A 21,472-nucleotide genomic window follows, 5' to 3' on the forward strand; every position below is an offset into this window, starting at 1 on the left:
TGGCACAACCTTGGCTCACTACAACCTCCACCTCCCCGGTTCAATAGATTCTCCTGCCTCAGCCTCTGGAGTAGCTGGGATTACAGGCACACGCCACCACACGCCCACCTACTCTTTGTATTTTTAGTAGAGACAGGGTTTCACCATGTTGGCCAGGCTGGGCTCGAACTCCTGACCTGAAATGGATCTACCTGCGTTGTCCCCGCAAAGTGCTAGGATTACAGGCGTGAGCCACCACGCCCGACCAAAACTTGGAAATTTTAATATGTATTTGTTCTTTTAACCCCAAAACAAAGCAACTTAATCACTGGCAGCCTACAGGGAAAAACTTCCTTGATCCTCAAAGGAAAACAATATAATCTTCTAAATATATTCTCTGATTTTCAAAGAAAGGCTTATTTCTGAAAGCAGTATTTGGGTTTTTTTCTTTTTGAAATTATTGCTATGGTAATATTTATCCTCACAGAACAATGCCCAATGTACTAAGGCTGAATTCATATGAGTCAAATAAAATGCTCTGTCAATGAACAAATAGCTGTTCATACGGTGAGCAACTATTCTGACGGGTATAGACACAGCGCTGTTCAATAAAATTTTCTGTGATGATAGTAATGTTGTATAGCTGGACTAACATGGAAGCTACTAGTCATATGTGACTGAGCACTTGAAATACGGCTAATGCAATTAAGAAACTACATTTTCATTTTAATTTTTATTAAATTGCCACACATGAATAGTAGCTACCATACTGTACAGCACAGGCTAAGTATTTTTAACATTTCCCACATTAAATATAATGTGCTTTGCAGTTTATCTTCAAAAGTTTAGTGGATAGTAAAATTCCTTCTGTCTTCTCCATTTGATAAAAAATACAAATGATACTATAAACACTTTTCTGGTAATAAGTCTCATTCTAAAATTTGTATTTTAATTTTCTAAGATGCAGTTCCAGATAACTTGAAGAGGCTGACCAACAATGGCTGAAATATGAAAATACTATTCCTGATCTACTGTAAGCCAAATCAGTTTATGTATAAGGAAAAAAATATGTTTCAAGATGACTCAAACTACAAATGTCAGTTTTTATTTTCAGTAAGTTTTAGGAAAGAGACAAACTCAAAAATACAAAAAGATAAATTCTTACTAAAGTTTTATGGGGTTTTAATGACTGATTTTAAATTACTTTAAAACCCCAAATGGTTTTAGTTTATTTCCAAACAGTTTTGTCCCTTCCAAAACTCATGTTGAAATTTAATCGCTACCAGGTGTGGTGGCTCACGCCTGTAATCCCAGCAGTTTGGGAGGCCAAGGCAGGCAGATCTCCTGAGCTCAGGAATTTGAGACCACCCTGGGCAAGATGGTGAAACCCTGTCTCTACTAAAAAATACAAAAGACTAGTTGGGCATGGTGGCATAGGCCTGTAGTCCTAGCTACTCGGGAGACTGAGGCATAAGAATTGCTTGAGTCGTGGAGGCGGAGGTTACAGTGAGCCATGACTGCACCACTGCACTCCAGCTTGGGCTACAGAGTGAGACTCCATCTAAAAAAAGAAAAAAAAAAAGAAGAATTTAATTGCCATTGTAACAATATTAAGAGGTAGGATCTTCAACAGGTAATTAGGCTATCAGAGCTCCACCCTCACAGGTGGGATTGGTTATAAAAGGGCAAATTTGGCCCCCTTTTGCTCTCACTCTTGCCATGTGATGACTCGTCAAGAAGGCCCTCACCAGATGCTGGCATCTTGATATTGGACTTCCCAGCTTCCAGAACTGTGAGCCAATAAACTTCCATTCATTATAAATGACCCATTCTCAGGTACTCTGTTACAGCAGTACAAAACGAACTAAGACAAAGGTTTACATTTTTTACATTCTACATGATACATGAATAACTTTTACTTATTGTTTAAAAATTAGAAAGACATTTACAACTGAAGTATAAAACAGATGTAGAATAGTTCTTTTAGCATAATAGCATTGTATATACATTACCTTCCGAATGAAAATCTTTTAGTGATACTGTGAGAGGTCTGTCTTTTCCCTGATGATTCTTTCTTTTATCTTTTTTATTCATAACTTTGGACTGAGTTGAAGTATTTTCAGCATCTTCATACTCCTAAAAAGAATTACCAACAACAATTAAGTTCAGTTTACAAACTGTAAAATAAACTCACCAACAGGTAATATGTTTCTTAAAGTTTATTTTTTAAAGATAAAAGGCAAATAAAAAACCAAAATTTAGGCTAGCCAAATTGTATAAAGAGATACCTCTTTATTCATTTACTCAATCCCTTACATCTTAAACATTAAAATGAAAACAAAAAAAGTCATACCTTGGCCTATAACCCCCTCCTCATTGCTACCTTCTACCTTTCAAGACCAAATTTAAGACAATAATCAGCAATTTCCTGCCTCATCCCACTGAAATCTGGCTTCTGCTGGTCTCTGATACTAAAGTTAAGGTCAATCTCCTCTTTATTGCCATATCCAAAACACATTATTTTTTTCAAGCATCTCTTGGTTTTCTTAATACATTTCTGACTACTGCTAAGTTTCCTTTGCTGGCTTCTTTCCTCAACCTTCTCAAAAGCGTAGCGGTTGTTCACATTATCCCACTCTTAACCTATTTTTTTAATGCTTTATACCCACTGCTCTTCAATCTCAAAGTTTAAAGTTCTACCAATAAACTAATTATTTCTGTATAGACAGACAACTGAACTGGAATGTTCAATAAGCATCTCCACACGAAATGTATTCTATCTTTCCATCTCACTACCCTGCCTTCCCCACTCGATCCTTTATGAAGTACCTTGTTATGCCACCACCATGTGCACATCTGTCTAAGTTGGAAACCTCAGAGTATCCTTGCCTACTCTCCTACACACCTTACAGCCAATTAACTACTAGGTCTTGTTTAACTTATCTCCTGAAGATATCTTAAATTCATTCTCTGTTCTTTGTACATTCTGTCATTCCCCCATCTCCCTTTTGCTTGGATACTGCAACAGTCTCCAATTTTAGCTCCTCAATCCATCTTCTACGCTGCTACATGAGTTTCTAAAATGAAAACCCAAAATCAATCTAAAAGTTAAAATGATTAAACAGCTTTCTGCCAATGGATGTATAAAACCCAATCTCCTTGCCTAGTACATGAAGAAATTTATGTCCTATCCTTCTGGCTGTATCTCCAGAAGTTCTAGGTCCTTAAATGACAGTTTTTCAAATATGCTATATTCTTTCACATGTACACATCTTATATACTTGCCACTCCTTCCTTCAGAATGCCTACTTTCCTCTTGTCTACCTCATGAACTTCTAACACATGTAATAAGACTCTTTAAAGAATCCTTTCCTAAAACCCATCCCCAACAAAGGCACTGAAAAGCCTTCTATTATTCTGAATTTCCACTGCACTGAGAACATACATCTCTCAATACTATACACTATGTCTCCCTCCACTACACTCAAGGGGCACACTTTGGCTATTCAATAATTATTTGGTGAATAACTGACAGAATAGAACAGAAAATGCTATCCCAGCCAGGCGCGGTGGCTCACGCCTGTAATCCCAGCACTTTGGGAGGCTGAGGCGGGCGGATCACCTCAGGTCGGGAGTTCAAGACTAGCCTGACCAACATGGAGAAACCCCGTCTCTACTAAAAGTACAAAATTAGCCAGGGTGGTGGCACATGCCTGTAATCCCAGCTACTCGGGAGGCTGAGGCAGGAGAATCACTTGAACCCGGGAGGCGGGGGTTGTGGTGAACCGAGATTGCGCCATTACACTACAGCCTGGGCAACAACAGCGAAACTCTGTCTCAAAAAAAAAAAAGAAAAAAGAAGAAAAGAAAAGAAAAAGAAAATGCCATCCCAAACTTTAGTTATCTGTTATAAAAATCCTTAGGCTAAAACAATTGTATTAAAAGTTGTTTTATTGAATATTGACTTTTATCTCAATGACTACCCATCAATGTCATCACATCAAACTACCCATTGCACACAAAAGAAGTTCCTCCCTTCTCTTAGTCATTATTGTCGGCTAAAATCAATGATTTTGAGTACTACACCTATGACTGTGCAAAGAACACTGGCTGGGAGTACGACATTTTATCAACACTATTTACTCTATTTCTCCTCTAAGGATACAGGTAATCCTTCTAGCTTTAGAATCTAGACATATATCCATAAGTCTAACAGCAAGAAGTCACCTTTGTATAATATTCTATTTGATAAATTTTATCTCCTAATTGAGCAAGACAGGATTACTTTTCCGGTGTAACCTGACAGTCCATTTAAATGATTAAATCATAGTAAAACTAGCTGTATCAATTTTTGTTAATTTTCCTGCTTTGTGTCTAAATGGGTATGTAACAATAATGGTTACAGTTCATTCTTCGTTATTTGAGGTAACAGAAAGGGATATGGAAATGAAACACATATAATATATACAGCCCACTTTATTAGCAACTTTTTTCCTTTTCCCTTGAACTATAAATAACTAGCAAAATCAATGCTGTGAATTTTTTTGTTAAGATGGGATCTCCCTTTCTTGCCCAGGCAGGAGGAGTGCAGTGGGATGATCATAGCTCACTGCATCCTCTAACTGCTGGGTTCAAGGGGTTCTCCCACCTCAGCCTCCCAAGTAGCTGGGAATACAGGCTCACACCACCATGCCCAGCTAATTAAAAAAAAATTTTTAGAGACAGTGTCTTGCTGTGTTAACCCAAGCTAGTCTCAAACTCCTGGCCTCAAGCAATCCTCCTGTCTCAGCCTCCTGAGTAGCTGCTGTGAATTTTAATTATTCACTTCTTTTCATTTTGGATAAAGACACTAATGCACAAGGACATGGCCAAAAAGTCTTCAGGGTGACCAGAGGCCATTTATGATCAACCACTGAGTAATCACAGCTTGAACAAATGTTATAAACCAAAAAAGGATCCCAGTAAATGTTACGGAATAAAATGTTAAATGATATTAACGTAATGAATACTCACACAATTTAAATACGGAAACTGGAAACCAACACTTCTTTTTACTTAAATCCTCCTTTAATAACAAGCTATAGAATGCATTTCAACACACAACCTAATATCAAAGCTCAGTGACAAATGCTGAGTTTTCAAGGCCAAAATTTCAGAAATGGCCTTCTACTTTATTTGATTTGTAGTGCAACTCTGGCAGAGGGTCTCTCAATAAATGCCCCTGTACTGTAATAGCCCATATTAAAATTTTAAATCCACTTATTTTCTATGTTCATTTAAAATTAAAATAATCGGCAGGGCACAGTGGCTCACACCTGTAATCCCAGCACTTTGGGAGGCCAAGGTGGGTGGATCAGCAGAGCTCAGGAGTTTGAGACCAGCCTGGCCAACATGGCGAAATCCCATCTCTACTAAAAAAACAAAATGTAGCTGGGTGTGGTGGCTCACGCCTGTAGTCCCAGCTACTCAGGAGGCTGAGGCGTGAGAATCGCTTGAACCTGGGAGGCGGAGGTTGCAGTGAGGTGAGATCATGCCACTGCACTCCAGCCTGGGCAAGAGAGTGAGACTCGGTCCCAAGAAAAAATAATAATAAAAATAAATAAAATTAAATTAAAATCATCTGTTGTGAATTTTATTCTCTCTCTTCCCTTCATCTTGGGTGGGGAAATTCCTTAACATTCCAAGTCACCGGACAAAGCTTAATTCCAACTGTTTCTGTTCTATCTCAAAACTTGAGAAGGAATCCTATTATAAACACTTCTTGGTAATATTTTATTATGGTAATGAATTTTTGGACAAACTTTTACAGAAAAATTTTATGTAAAATTCAAGTAGGTTGATTTTAACCTCTCACCACTTAAACTTCTAAAATATCTAAATCAGTAAGTATGTAAATACCTTTTTGTGCTCTTCATATTCTAGTTTACTTAGTAACAATGCCTTCTCAAGATCTGCTTCAAACATTTCAGATGTCAGCTACAAAAAAAAAGTTTCACAATAAACAGACAGTATCATTACATCACATGAGCAAAATAACCATACATATTACTATATACAGAGGAAAAGAAAGCAAATATGTTAAAAAACAATATGGATTCTCCAAAGTTATCTAACCATGCCAAACTAGGAAGCCTATATTCTATAGAAGACATCAAAATACAAACTTCCAATTTTGAGATTTCCATTTCTCCTCTTCATTGTTATCTATTATATATGATATAATCTTACTTTTTACCTTAATAAAAAAATCTTACCAAATAATTGGCACTATAATAGATGTCAAAGGCAACATTCAGTTTAGGACACTAAAAATTATGAGTGATTATTACTCAAAAATATAAGAATACTAAAAAATAACTCAATAAGCATTATTAAACACAATATGCCATTTCATGAATATAGAAAAAACCACAGGTACAAAATAAGTTTGCCAAATGTCCTGGCATATGCCAGGTGTTACAGAATAATTGTTCATAGTGCATCTTTTTACTCTCAAAATGATAAACTATATGGTTGCTTTAAGTCATCTAATAATGATTCTTTGTGATATATATTTGTTTCTCTTTTTCACTAATCAATCTCACCTAACTTTTTAAAATCCAGTTTTCACCACCCTCCAATCCAATTAATCTCTACAAGACTTACTTTTCCTAATTGCCAAACAGAATGTTGCAGTAGTTGGATGCGACTTTGAGTTGTCCACTACTGGGCATAAGGTGAGTGGGTTTGCAGCTGTATATAAGATAGCTGCAACATGACATGGGTAAACATCCTGGATTTGTGTACATGTATGTGTCTATGTGTACAGGATAACAAAAGCATAAATTTAGTGGGCATCTCTTGTTTTTATCTGTCCAGAATCCCTTCCTCGATTCCTTTAAATAAGTGCACTTCATTCCAAAGTCCCATGGTTTCAGCAGAACAGCCAGTCGCATAATTCTGTACACTAAGCACTACCATACCACACAAACACCCAAGCTATCATCACCAATGACAAAAGGTGGGGGCAAGTGATCCAATTCCTTTTTTTTCCTCCCAGGAATTAAATTTTGAGAACAAAGGAAAAGCAGGTGGGTTTAATTATCTGATGATAACCCTCGAAAAATGACATCTACTAGCTCATGCCTCTGAGCACTCCCAAATTCCTTGGTTTCCAGCTTTTTCAAGACCTAATTATTTAGTTTTTAATTCAAATCTGTGAATCACTCAGTATCCTTCAAAAAAGGTTTTTGGCTAAGTTAATCATAATTGTTTCTATTACTTAATGATTTTTAAAAATCTAAACTAAAATAGAAACCAACTCCAAAAAGAAGTGATCTGTTTCAAGGAGAAACCTTAAAAACTAGAAAAATCTTAATAGACACTATGAACTAAACATTTCTAAGCAAAGTCATCCCTTTGAAAGCATCTAATCCTATGCTGATACAATAAAAAGAGAGGAAAAAAAGATTAAGCTTACACAGAAAAACAATCGAATGCAGAAAAATACAATTAGAATTAAAATGGTAAGGATATATAGAACTAGAAAATCAGATTAAGCCCAGTGTAAATTATACATACTTTATGGAATAACTGAAAAGAATTGAAGAATTACTCTGAACTAGTAATTAGCAAGAAAAAGTAATAAATTAATCTTTTAGTCTTACTATATACACTTATGTACATGGGTATTCAATGGTTATAAGGTAAAAGGAAATTTCCATCAATTTCTCCACCTAACCTCATGGCAAACTGATAATAAAATGTTTCACTAAACTTAAAGGACAGTAATCATCCTAACAGAAAAATTAACAAAACTAGGCCGGCACAGTGGCTCACGCCTATAATCCCAGCACTTTAGGAGGACGAGGTGGGCGGATCACCTGAGGTCAGGAGTTTGAGACCAGCCTGGCCAACATGGTGAAATACTAAAAATACAAAAAACAAAACAAAACAAAACAAAAAAACAAACAAACAAAAAAACAGCCTGGCATGGTGGTGCATGCCTGTAATTCCAGCTACTCGGGAGGCTGAGGCAGGAGTATCGCTTAAACCCAGAGGCGGAGGTTGCAGTGAGCTGAGATTGCACCACTGCACTCCAGACTAGATGACAGAGTGGGACTCCGTCTCAAAAAAAGAAAAAGAAAAAAAGAAAAAGTAACAAAACTACTTGTTTATTCTGAACAAAGCTTTTCAATTTGCCACTAAAATTTTAATCCCTATTGATGACATTTAATTATAGAAAGGGCATTTGAGATTATTTCTAATATGTCACATAGTCTGATGATATTCCAGAAATAAGTTAGTGGGCAGAACAGGTTAGGAAGTTGGAAGTCTTGTTAGATGTCATTTTTATTTTTCATATTAACTTACAGAATTTAAATGTTAAGGCAGTTCATTCTAATCGCATGATAAAAACTGAATGAAATAGAAATTTTAGGCCAGGCGTGGTGGCTCATGCCTGTAATCCCAGCACTTTGGGAGGCCGAGACAGGCAGATCACAAGGTCAGGAGATCAAGACCATCCTGGCTAACACGGTGAAACCCCGTCTCTACTAAAAATACAAAAAAATTAGCCGGACGTGGTGGCGGGTGCCTGTAGTCCCAGCTACTCGGGAGGCTGAGGCACGAGAATGGTGTGAACCCAGGAGGCGGAGCTTGCAGTGAGCCGACATCACGCCACTGCACCCTAGCCTGGGCGACAGAGCGAGACTCCGTCTCAAAAAAAAAAAAAGGAAAATAGAAATAGAAATTTTAAAGTAAAAACATATGGCCCTCCCAGCAACTGATTCTAATTGTAGCTCAGACTTTAAATCTACCTTTTAATTGTTAACACAAACTAGTATACAAGAAAATGCAGGTAGACAAAAATGATTTAAATTTAAATTTTTGAAAACTAGAACAAATCTTCCAAAAATTTCATTGTATGACCAATCAGCCATTAAGGATTCATTTAGAGTCTTCTAGGGGCTGTGCCCTCCCTGCCTATGGGGCTTAATTTAAAGCAGCAGCATAAATTTGGCTTTTGCCCTTGAAGAATTCCTACCCAGTTGAGGATGTAAGATTAACGTGTATGAACTACAGGAAATAGAATAAGACATTAAAAGAGCTACAAAAGTTGAGAAAAAGAAGATCAACAACAAATGTGATTCAGGAATACAGAAAAAAAATCCTTTTAAGTTGGTATTTAAATATAGATACAATTTGGATAGGCAGAAATAGAACTGCAGGAAGAGCCACATTATGTTAATGTTATAATATTAAGAATAGATATACTATGGGATACTAAGGAAAGTCATTCTGACAAAAAGTGAATTTTAAACATTACAAGAGAAAGATGTGGAAAAAACACAGGCTTTGGGAGATCACAGAAATTGATAATTTAAATTCCTATTCCACCCATGCTAGCTGTGACTTTGAACAAGTTATATTAACTCCTGTGAATCTCAGAACATTTAAAAAGGACATTGGAATATCAACTGTACAAGGTAGTTTTAAGGACTTAAAGTTGTAATATGTATGAAGTACCTAGCACAGTTCCTGGCATAAGAGCAGTACCAAATGAATTAGAATTACTCTCCCATGTTGGAGAATAGTAGAAAATAAGATTGCTTAGTTAGGGCAGCATAAGGTTCCAGACACTTCCTAAAATTTAAGGCTATAGGGCAGAAAAAAGAGGAATGCTAATATTAAATAAAAGTAATTTTTAAGATATAAACTGGAATATTAGAAGAATGAGAACCTAGAATCAATGTGTCTGACTAAGCCATTGTAATCTCAGACAGCATATGGGCACCTGGACCAAAATGTAGCAGCGCAGAAAATAAAGAAGAGACTGATCAAGTTTTGGAACACTGACAATATGAAGTGTGAAAGAATCAAAGATAAGGTTTTTGACCTTAGATAACAGGGAGAATGGTAGCACAAGACTAACACATATCAGAAAAGAGAAAGAAAATGTGATTCAAAATTCTCTAAACATATCTTTATTCTCTATCAAAGACTGCTATAACTATAGCTGACAATCTACTTAATCAGTAAATGTATAGGTAAAAGAGAGAGGGAGACAGAGACAGAGACTGGGCCTATAAGACAGGCTCCAGGCAATAAAATGCAAATAAAAGCATACTTTTAAAAAAGTACCTTGTTTAAGTTTGCGAATGGGAAGTTCCTTATTATTTTCTTTTTATTTATGGGAGTAGGAGGAAAGGAAGAAAAAGAGGAAATAGCAGGCACTAAAATGCCTACAGAATTCAAGAAGATACTTACATGTGTCCAAGATGGAGTACTTCAGATCCCCTTCCTCTTGACTTCCTCATTGCCTCCTACTCCCCATCTAGTAGTAAAACATTTTTTCTTCTATTTAAGCAAACCTATAGCTCAATCAGTTAAAGAGTATGAAGAACCAATGAAAAACCTAAAGGACAGTAAATATTTTGGTACTAACATTTTTTAAAAATTAATTTGTAAGTCTAAGTACCATTACAATTTTACTCATTTAAATCCAAACAAAATAAATTCCAAATGAAGAGTTAGTCTTCAATTCTCATAGGCAACATGGAAATATAGTTACTATAAAACAAAAGAGATCACCATTCTGAAGACATCTAACACTTGCAGCCAACTGATTGGACTTAATAGCAGTGGTGCATAGTGGTCCCCTAACCCATTAGATTTTCAAAGTGTAGACTACATATCTTTCAGTAATTTGGAAGGCAAGATTATTTTCCCAGAAATCTTACAGTAGTCTTATTGAACATAATTATTCTAAAGGTTGTCAGAGTTCTACAAAAATGACATATATAATTCACATTCATTACCACATTCAGTTCATCTCAGCTAATGTATTTTTATGTCTTCTGAGTGCTGTTTGCATTTACTAAGTCTGTATTTTTGTTGTATGCTTTATCACACCTCCAAGCAATAAAAATGGTTCATGAGTCACAAAAGAATTAAAAGTAGTAATGAAAATAGAACCGTAAATAATGCAACTTATAAAAACACAATAAATTTTGAAATTAACAGGACTCCAATACAGTGAATATAGAATATAAACGTGTATGTGTTAGGATGAGAGTGATGTCACAAAAGGAGCAGAAAAGGAAAGTTATAAACAGAAAATTAAGATAATGAATATTTAAAATTTTCATTTGAGTCATCCATCTATTTGCTCCTAGCTACCTGTCATGAAATCTGGTCAGAAGACTGGGTGTGGTGGCTCATGCCTACAATCCCAGCACTTTGGGAAGCTGAGGTATGTGGACTGCTTGAGACCAGGAGTTCAAGACCAGCCTGGGCAACATGGCAAAACCCCATCTCTACTAAAAATACAAAAAATTAGCCAGCCATGGTGGAGTGTGCCTGTAGTCCCAGCTACTTGGGAGGCTGAGGCGGGAGAATCATCTGAGCCTGGGAGTCAAGGCTGCAGTTAGCCATGATCACACCACTGCATTCCAGCTTGGGCGATGGGAGTAAGACCCCATCTCAAAAAATATATGAAAATTAAAAAAGAGAGAGAAAGAAACTTGGTGAGACCAGTGGCCTGAAGATATCACAGTTTTTGTTTCACTTTCAAACAAAGCCAAGGGACCTGTAGGAGTCTTTCCAGAACAACTACTAAGTAATGCTTTCCAGCATAAAAGTGATTAATTTTGTTGCTAAAGAGCCAAAAATACAATGGATTTATTTGAATTTACACTCCTTATAAGGAAACCAGGTAGTCAAACTACTGCCAAGGGATTTATTATACCAGCCACACAGTTAATGATAAATATTACACTCACAAACAAACAAAACCAGAACAAGCTATTGGAAAAAAACCTTTATCAAATGAACTGAAGGATGTCACGTAAGAGAGAACTTGCTATTGTGCACATACTAACAGACATGTCACTTCAGAGTGAGAAAAATACCAGTGACGTGTAGAGTTTGAATCAATACAGTAACAGAAGAAATACACAATAAAATTTGGTCTGTTAATCACTGAAACCCTTAAGAAGAGATTTTTCTACTTATTTTTTGAGTCATGACTTTTAAAAAAAGGTACACTGGAATCAATAGTATCAGTGCATCATGCATAAAGCAGATTATACCTGAAAAACATCTACACAGAGATTTATTCCTAGGCAACAGCTGTTGGTGAACAATATGTTTCTTGATCTTGATTTAATCGTTTTAAAAAACAGTGGCTGGGTGTGGTGGCTCGCGCCTGTAATCCCAGCACTTTGGTAGGTGGAGGTGGGGAGGGGAGGATCATCTGAGGTCAGGAGTTCGAGACCAGCCTGGCCTGTAAAATCCCACCTCCACTAAAAAACAATACAAAAAACTAGCCGGGCGTGGTGGCACATGCCTGTAATCCCAGCTACTCAGGAGGCTGAGGTAGGAGAATCGCTTGAATCCGGGAGGCGGAGGTCACAGTGAGCCGAGATTGTGCCACTGCACTCCAGTCTGGGCGACAAGAGCGAGACTCCATCTCAAAAAAAAAAAAAAAAAAAAAAAGTGAAAATTATGCATACAACCAAGTCAAAGCCATGCCCTACGTATTTTTTTAAAAACAGCTTTACTGGGATATAATTTACATATCATTTTATACATCATGTATCACATGACACTCATTTCAATTAAGAAACATACACATCTTTTGATATATACATCTAAGCAAATAAATGAGTAGGGAATATAAGACCACTTTTCCACAATGAAGTGTGCTGGGATAGATACAAGTTAGCTGCTACTTAGAGTTAATTCTTTATTGAACTAGCTTAAATACTCACCACTAGTGTTTTTTTTATTGTTTGTGCTCTTTATTTAGATTTTCTTTTTAATTGACAGGAGCACATCTCAGAAAAATTTGCAGAAAGGATAATGGTGGTATACTCTCTCAGTTATGGTTATGTCTGAGAGTGTCTTTTTTTTTTTTTTTTTTTTTGAGATAGGGTCTCGCTCTGTCACCCAGGCTGAAGTGCACTGGCATGATCACGGCTCACTGCAGCCTGAGTAGCTGGGACTACAGGCATGCGCTACCACATCCAGTGAATTTTTGCATTTTTTTGTAGAGATGGGGATTTGCCATATTGCCTAGGCTGGTCTCGCAAACTCCTGGGCTCAAGTGATCTGCCTACCTTGGCCTCCTAAAGTGCTGGGATTACAGGAATGACCTGCTGCACTGGGCCTAAGTGTGTTTCTTTCACATTCACACAAATGACTTCTAGGCTAGATGTGAAATTCTTGGTCTTAACATTTTGGTTCTGGTGATTAAAGTAGCCAGCCTGATTCTTCATCCTGTATAGGCAACCAGTTTTCTCCTGTGTATATATTTATACTACTATTTCCTTATTCCTCATTCTTAAAATTAGAATCTAATTCTTAAAACGCTTAAATTTGGTGTTCTTTTCAAGCTTAGATTTTATCAAAATAATCTTTTTTCTTTTTTTAGAGCTAGGGTCTCACTATGTTGCCCAGGCCAGTCTCAAACTCCTGGCCTCAAGCAATATTCCTGCCTCAACCTCCCAAAGTGCTGGGATTACAGGCATGAGCCACTGCACTCGGCCTATCAACATAATCTCTAATACCTGTGTCTCTTCTATTTGTTTCAGGGACATTAATTATGCCTCTGTTGGATTTAAATTCAGTGTTCCAATCTATCATGTCAATTTTATCAGCAAAACTTATCTCAAATTTTCCTTCACAGAATTGGCTCAGCTTTCTTTAGTAGATACTCTGGTCCTTCTAATTAAGTTTTTAATCTGCTATGATTTTACTTCCTAAATTTTAAAATTCACCCATCTCACTTTTTTTTGTTTTTTTGAGATGGAGTTTCACTCTTGTTGCCCAGGCTGGAGTGCAATGGCACAATCTTGGCTCACAACCTCTGCCTCCTGGGCTCAAGATATTCTCCTGCCTCAGTCTCCCGAGTACCTGGGATTACAGGCATGCACCATCACGCCTGGCTAATTTTGTATTTTTAGTAGAGACGGGACTTCTCCACATTGGTCAGGCTGGTCTCGAACTCCCGACCTCAGCTGATCCGCCCACCTAGGCCTCCCAAAGTGCTGGGATTACAGGTGTGAGCCACCGCACCCGGCCCCATCTCAGTTTTAATTCACCCGTCTCCCTTTTAATTTCTCTCAGTCACTTTTTCATTTTAGTGCATTATTTTATCTTACTTTCTTATATAACATTACTATCCCCTTGACTTTTACAAAACGTTCTAGCCTCTTGATTTTTATTAAAGCAAAACATAGATGCTATCTAAAATAAACTTCCATTTCCTGCAGCAAATCTTTTTCGAGGTGTGCTTTCACTCCAGACACTAAGTACAATGTGCTTTTCCTTCATGTGGCAGAAACTTTTCTTCCATTGATACAAGATCAACTGAGATCCAGTGTTTGCTCATAAACAGGCGAACTGAGTGCTTTCCTACTGTCCATCTGGTTAGGTGTTTAATTCTAGCTCTCAGATTGTATGCTAAGGCTTAGTTGATGTAAATTTGCATTATCTATATGGTGATTTAGGAGTAGGAAACTTTGTTCTTACCATAATTTCTCTTTCGTGTTTGACATAAGCAGCCAAGTAACAGCTAAGTTTTCCATGTCCAGCTTTCTGTCTGGCTCAGCCCTCCATCCCCGAAATTTCTCATACTGTGTCAGGAAGAACACCCCCTACATTGTATGCTTTCTGCCTAGTATATAGTCATTGCCTGATCCCTGTAAATGTAGCTACTTTTGAAATCTATTATTACTCTATTAATAAGATAGATTCCAGACAGTATATTGTCCATCAGTTGCAAGGCTTGCCCTTATCTCTTCCTCACCTCTCAGTGTAATTATCCCAAGATCTACTCTACTTCCACACATTATTTTCTTCCAAGTGAGTCTCCCACATAAGGCTCCAGGTCTTCCTAAGTGACCCATCAGTAGTATACTCAGCAGAAATTCGTCAAAGTTCCTGGGCCTTCAACGGCATCCTTATATAGGATCAGGGCCAAGTCACACTATTTCCTTTTCATCATTACCTGCTCATTTCAGCAGCAATCAGTGGGAGCAGAAGAAAAGGCAATCAGATATCTGTGATCAAGTTCCCATGTTGCATGGAATTTATTTTGGTGCAAATTTGAGTAGTTTTCCTTCATTAGTTCTCCAGTAAACTTTAGGCCACTGGGAGAAATTCTCTCCAATGAAGACACTGGTAAATTCTATTACTGGCTAAACAAGTAGATCATCAAAACATTTATATTTGTAAACAAGAATCGGTCATAATGAATATTTTATAAGAAAAAAAAGAATCAACCCCTAGAAACAGTACAAGATGATTTATCCAGTATACCAGTACCTGGAACTGCCATTTGAACAGCACTACTGCATGGCTCTATAGTAATAATTAATGCTCATAATCATGAGCCTGAGGCACTGCAAAATCCTAAAGAAAATGTTATAATTAGCACAGTTTATGTTAAGAGAATAACTCAGTATAGTCTATTTTAAAACTGGTAACCCAAGAATGATAGAAACAGCCACTCTACTAGACCTAACATCTGCTAGAATGATACTTATTCTGAATGCATCAAATGATAGTTTGACAGGCAAATAAATAATTCATCACTTACTATACATATAGCATCTCCTAGAGTACATTCCAGGCTTAGTATGTTATTTTCCTGGACTCCACACACAAAAAAGATATGTATTCGTCTTAATGAGTTATCTATTTTATTTGGTTGTTAATGACATTTAATAGAGACATAGAAGAACAAAATATCATGTAAACAGGTTAAAGAAACAAACAACAGTAAAGTTTCCCAAAGGATTTCTTTTTTAAGCAAAACTGTCACTGGGTATTATTTGTTTTTTGTTATGAGACAGGGTCTCACTCTGCTGCCCAGGCTGGAGTGCAGTGACAAAATCATGGCTCACTGCAGCCTCGACCTCCTGAGCTCTGATCTTCCCACCTCAGCCACCTGAGTAGCTGGGACCACAAGTGTGCGCCTCCATGCCCGGCTAATTTTTCTGTTTTTTTTGTAGACAAAGGGTTTTGCTCTGTGGCCCAGGGTGGTCTCAAACTCCTAGGCTCAAGCCATCCACCCGCCTCAGACTCCCAAATTGCTGGGATTACAGGTGTGAGCCACCTGTAGGCTGTACACACCCAGCCTAGTCACTGTGTATTTTTAACAAGAGATTTCTGCCCTACAAATGTGATTTTCTTACTTGGAATAATTTAATACTGTTCCCCTACCTTCCCTGTCTCTCCCTGATTTGTAAAAGGCAGATGATTTTTAAAACCACAAAATAACTGCTTCCTATTGTCAAAACTAACATAAACAACAAATGTATCACTTTTGTTTTTCAGTAGATCAAAAACAGAACCTCTTATTAAAAGCAACAAATATGAATTAATCCAATACAAATTGCTTCTCAGAACAGTGGTGACGTGAATTCAGAGGCACTGCCATGTGAAAAATCCATAAATTCAATGAAAAACAAAGCAATTTTATTTACTTAGTTGTACCTGCTCATCTCTTTGTCTCCACTCTTGCCAATTTTCTTCTCGTGAATCCTTCTGTACTGGGTTTGACAATGGAAGATCATGTTGAGCGTTACAAACAGCATGGGAGGATTTCTGGGGAATTTTCTTAAAAGCAAGATTCCTGAGCTATAAAACAAACAAAAAATATATTAAATTCAGTTTACCAATCCTGGGATACTAATGATTTTTTTAATTAAAAAAAAACCAATGATATTTTTATACTTCTACTGAAACCACTCGTTTTGCTAACTCACACAGCTAAAGTTATTATTTGTGTTTTCTATAATCTTTGTAGAATGTTAATTTTGCCAGCATTTGAGATAATGTTGGTAGATCTATATATAAAATGATTAAGTGAAAAATGTATTATACTCTATTATACCACCATTTTAATCATTCTTCTTTACTAAAAAGAAGTTTATAGGAGTAGAAAACAGTAAAACAAGTGTGCTTTTAAAATGCAAAACACAACTGGGCTCAGTGGCTCACCCCTCTAATCTTAGCCCATTGGAAGGGTGAAGCAGGTGGACTGCTTGAGCCCAGGAGATTGAGACCAGCCTCAGAAATGTGGCAAAACCCAGTCTTCACAAAAAATACAACAACAACAAAAAAACTAGCCGGGTGTGGTGACACACACCTGTGGTCCCAGCTACCCAGGAGGCTGAGGTGGGAGGATCACCTGAGCCCAGGGGGTTGAGGCTGCAGTGAGCAGTGATCATGCCACTGCACTCCAGCCTGGGCAACAGAGTGAGACCCTGTCTCAAAAATAAAAATAAAATAAAATGCAAAACAATACAGTTCAGAAAGCATACACATTTAAAAGTTTAAATAGTGAGAGATCGCCTAAGCAACTCTGACAACTACTTTGCTAGTCCTGAAAAATACAGGGCCTAGTCCACAAAGTAACATAATCAACTAAAACAGTATGGGCCAAGCCACTCCCAACAATAAAAATAATCTGAGACAAAGTAGTTGAAACGAGAGAAAAATACTGAGAGGCTGTTATGAACTGAATTTGTTAAATTAAGTTTAGCCAGCAGACACTGAGCATACTGCCTATGAGTTAGCCCTGTTCTGCAAGGAGCAGTTTAAAAAAAAAAAAAGTTTAGCCTAAAGCTGCCTCCTTACGTTTTTTTTTTGTTTTTTTTTTTTTTGGCAGAGTCTCGCTCTGTCGCCAGCTGGAATGCAGTGGCACAATCTCGCTCACTGTAACCTCCGCCTCCCAGGTTCAAGCAATTCTCCTGCCTCAGCCTCTCAAATAGCTGGGATTACAGTCACATGCCACCACGCCCAGATACTTTTTCTATTTTTAGTACAGATGGGTTTTCACCATGTTGGCCAGGCTGGTCTTGAACTCCTGACCTCAGGTGATCCCACCCACCTCAGCCTCCCAAAAGTGTTGGGATTACAGGCGTGAGCCACCGCGCCCGGCCCCCACTGCCTCCTTACATATTTTAAGTTCAACTTGAAAGTTTCTCCATACATAGTGAACTGTAACCTAACAATGTATAAACAAACTATAACCTACTTTTGTACCAATCGCCCAGTTTTAGCCAATCACAGGTGGTCAACTGTCAAACCATGTTCAAATAAGGCAAAGGTGGAGCTGTAACCAGTCCAGCTGTTTCTGTACCTCACTTCCGTTTTCTGTCCACAAATACTATCTGACCAACTGACAGCCCAGTTGTAGCTCTGAATCTATTCTGGTTCTGGGGGCTGCTGAATTGTGAATCGGTCTTTGCACATTTGAAGTGTTCAATTTAATTTGTCTTAAGTTTTTAACAAATTGTATCCTCCCTAAAGATACCTTGAAGCCCTAACCTCCAAGTGTCCCTGAATGTGACCTTATTTGGAAATTGGGTCTTTACAGATGTAATCAAGTTAAGATAAAGTCATGCTGAATTAGGTTGGGCCCTAATCCAATATGACTGGTATCCTTATACAAAGAGGTGAAGACACAGATACACAGAGAATGCCACATAACAACACAGGCAGAGATTGGGGTGAGGACACAGCAAGCCAAAGGAATGCCATGGATTGACAGCTGCCACCCAGAAGCTAGAAGAGGCATGGAAAGATTCTACTCAGAGTCTCAGAGAAGGAATGGCCCTTTTGATCTGTGGATTTGAACCTCTACTAGACTCCAGAACTGTGAAAAAATAAATTTCCGTTGTTTTAAGCCACCAAGTTTGTGTTTTTTTTTTTTTTAAGGCAGCCCTGAGAAACTAATAAAGAGGATTTCAACTGAGGATCAACAATTTTAACTGTTAATATTAGGTTGGTGCAAAGTAATTGTGGTTTTTACCAAATACATTGTTCTGCAAAAGGGAGTAAGATAGAAACACCACTGTAAGTAGCTGGTTTCTGATTTGGAAAGGACATTCAGAAGGAGATGCTGCTGGAAATGAAGCACTGGTAGGTCAGCTACTGTTTGCTTTACAGAAAGTAAAGGCTTATAGAACTGCAAATGGCTGAAGTGGAAAGGGTGGATCCTTCACACTCATTCTGTTTTATATTTTCTTATTCTCTAATATAAACTCCATTATTGCCTTATTTTCTGTTTCCCCCAAATCATCTTAATTCCTAAAAGAAAATAGTGGGCAATCAAAAGTTCTGAAAGATCTGACTTCTGAAAGGTTATCATCCAGTGAGGAAAGTATCTTTCCTTTAAAGTTACTGTGTGGATAGCATTTTAAAGAATATTCAGAAAGCAATGGAGATGGAAATGTAATAGAAAAAATAAACTGAAAAGGCTTTTTTCTAAGTCTTGGGACATTACTATGAGAATAAAACACTATTCTTTCATTAAATAATAAAAAGAAAGGTCCTTATATACCCAACGGCTCCTTCTATTAAACAAAACACATACTAGAGTTGTAGCTCAGAATTTCTTTTAAAAACAATGGGCATATTAAATGTTGGGCATTTAAGTAAAGCTAAGGATGTCTAGGAAAAAAGGGCCTTCCATACAGTTTTTACTCTAAAGAAAAGAAATGGGCCAGGCGCAGTGGCTCACACCTGCAATCCCAGTACTTTGGGAGGCCGAGGCAGGCGGATCACGAGGTCAGGAGTTCCAGACCAGCCTGGCCAATATTGTGAAACCCCATCTCTACTAAAAATATAAAAATTAGCCAGGTGTGGTGGCACGTGCCTGTAGTCCCAGCTACTCGAGAGGCTGAGGCAGAAGAACTGCTTGAACCTGGGAAGCAGAGGAGGTTGCAGTGAGCTGAGATCACGGCACTAAAACCCAGCTCGGGCAACAGAGGAAGACTCCATCTCAGAAAAAAAAAAAAAAAAAAGACCATCGAATGCATAAAAATGTACATTCAATGCAAGTTACAGAGGGTCAGGAATAGTGTTGCACACCTGTAATCTCAGCATTTTGGGAAGCTGAGGCAGGTGGACTGCTTGAGGCCAGGAGTTTGAGAACAGCCTGGGCAATGTACTGTGACCCTGTCTCTACAAAAAAACAAAATTAGCTGGGTGTGGTGGTGCTTGCCTGTAGTCCTAGCTACTTGGGAGGCTGAGGCAACAGGACTGCTTGAACCCAGGAGTTTGAGGCTACAGTGAGCTATATCATGCCACTGAACTCCAGCCTGGACAAGAGAGAGAGATTCTGTCTTCTCTTTAAAAAAAAAAAATAAAAGAGGCCAGCATGGTGGCTCACACCTATAATCCCAGCACTTTGGGAGGCCAAGGTGGGGTGGATCACTTGAGCAACATGATGAAACCCTGTCTCTACCAAAAATACAAAAAATTAGCCTGGCGTAGTGGTGTGTGCCTGTGGTCCCAGTTGCTTGGGAGGCTGAGGTGGGAGGATCACTTGAGCCTGGGAGGCAGAGGTTGTAGTGAGCCGAGATCATACTACTGCATTCCAATCTGGGTAACAAGAGTGAGACCCCGTCTCAAAAAAACAAAAACAACTAGTCATATGATTTTTGCCTATAACAGTAAAAAATAGGAAACAACCCAAATGCTTATCATGAGTTCAATTAAATAAAGTATGAAATAACCATGTAGCTCCCTCTCCCCTCTCCCCTCTCCCCTCTCCCTCTCGGTCTCCCTCTCCCTCTCTTTCCACGGTCTCCCTCTGATGCCGAGCCGAAGCTGGACTGTACTGCTGCCATCTCGGCTCACTGCAACCTCCCTGCCTGATTCTCCTGCCTCAGCCTGCCGAGTGCCTGCGATTGCAGGCGTGTGCCACCACGCCTGACTGGTTTTCGTACTTTTTTGGTGGAGACGGGGTTTCGCTGTGTTGGCCGGGCTGGTCTCCAGCTCCTAGCCGCGAGTGATCCACCAGCCTCGGCCTCCCGAGGTGCCGGGATTGCAGACGGAGTGTGGTTCACTCAGTGCTCAATGGTGCCCAGGCTGGAGTGCAGTGGCGTGATCTCAGCTCGCTACAACCTCCATCTCCCAGCCGCCTGCCTTGGCCTCCCAAAGTGCCAAGATTGCAGCCTCTGCCCGGCCGCCACCCCGTCTGGGAAGTGAGGAGCGTCTCTGCCTGGCAGCCCATCGTCTGGGACGTGAGGAGCCCCTCTGCCTGGCTGCCCAGTCTGGAAAGTGAGGAGCGTCTCTGCCCGGCCGCCATCCCATCTAGGAAGTGAGGAGCGCCTCTTCCCGGCAGCCATCCCATCTGGGAAGTGAGGAGCGTTTCTGCCCGGCCGCCCATCGTCTGAGATGTGGGGAGCGCCTCTGCCCCGCCGCCCCGTCTGGGATGTGAGGAGCGCCTCTGCCCGGCCGCGACCCCGTCTGGGAGGTGAGGAGCGTCTCTGCCCAGCCGCCCCGTCTGAGAAGTGAGGAGACCCTCCGCCCAGCATCCGCCCCGTCTGAGAAGTAAGGAGCCCCTCTGCCCGGCAGCCACCCCGTCTGGGAAGTGAGGAGCGTCTCCGCCCGGCAGCCGCCCCGTCCGGGAGGGAGGTAGGGGGGTCAGCCCCCCGCACGGCCAGCCGCCCCGTCTGGGAGGTGAGGGGCGCCTCTGCCCAGCCGCCCCTAC

At 39.2% G+C, this 21,472-nt stretch overlaps 1 protein-coding gene across 5 annotated transcripts in view; it reads right to left on the reverse strand.

The window, feature by feature from the left end:
- The window catches only part of GKAP1 (G kinase anchoring protein 1), a 78,345-nt gene that overhangs the window by 43,299 nt on the left and 13,574 nt on the right, over positions 1–21,472 (reverse strand). For 4 of the 5 annotated variants that reach the window (NM_001135953.2, NM_025211.4, XM_011519058.3 and 1 more), the window contains 3 exons: positions 16,462–16,605; positions 5,878–5,955; positions 1,992–2,115 (listed from right to left, as the gene is read on the reverse strand). In NM_001135953.2, coding sequence (NP_001129425.1) covers positions 1,992–2,115; positions 5,878–5,955; positions 16,462–16,605 — 346 coding nt within the window. Of the gene's footprint in view, positions 1–1,991; positions 2,116–5,877; positions 5,956–10,227; positions 10,310–16,461; positions 16,606–21,472 lie in introns of those variants that run through there. The other variant, XM_017015171.2, reaches the window with a different exon arrangement.

This window comes from Homo sapiens, chromosome 9 (assembly GCF_000001405.40).
Source record: "Homo sapiens chromosome 9, GRCh38.p14 Primary Assembly".
NCBI lineage: Eukaryota > Metazoa > Chordata > Mammalia > Primates > Hominidae > Homo > Homo sapiens.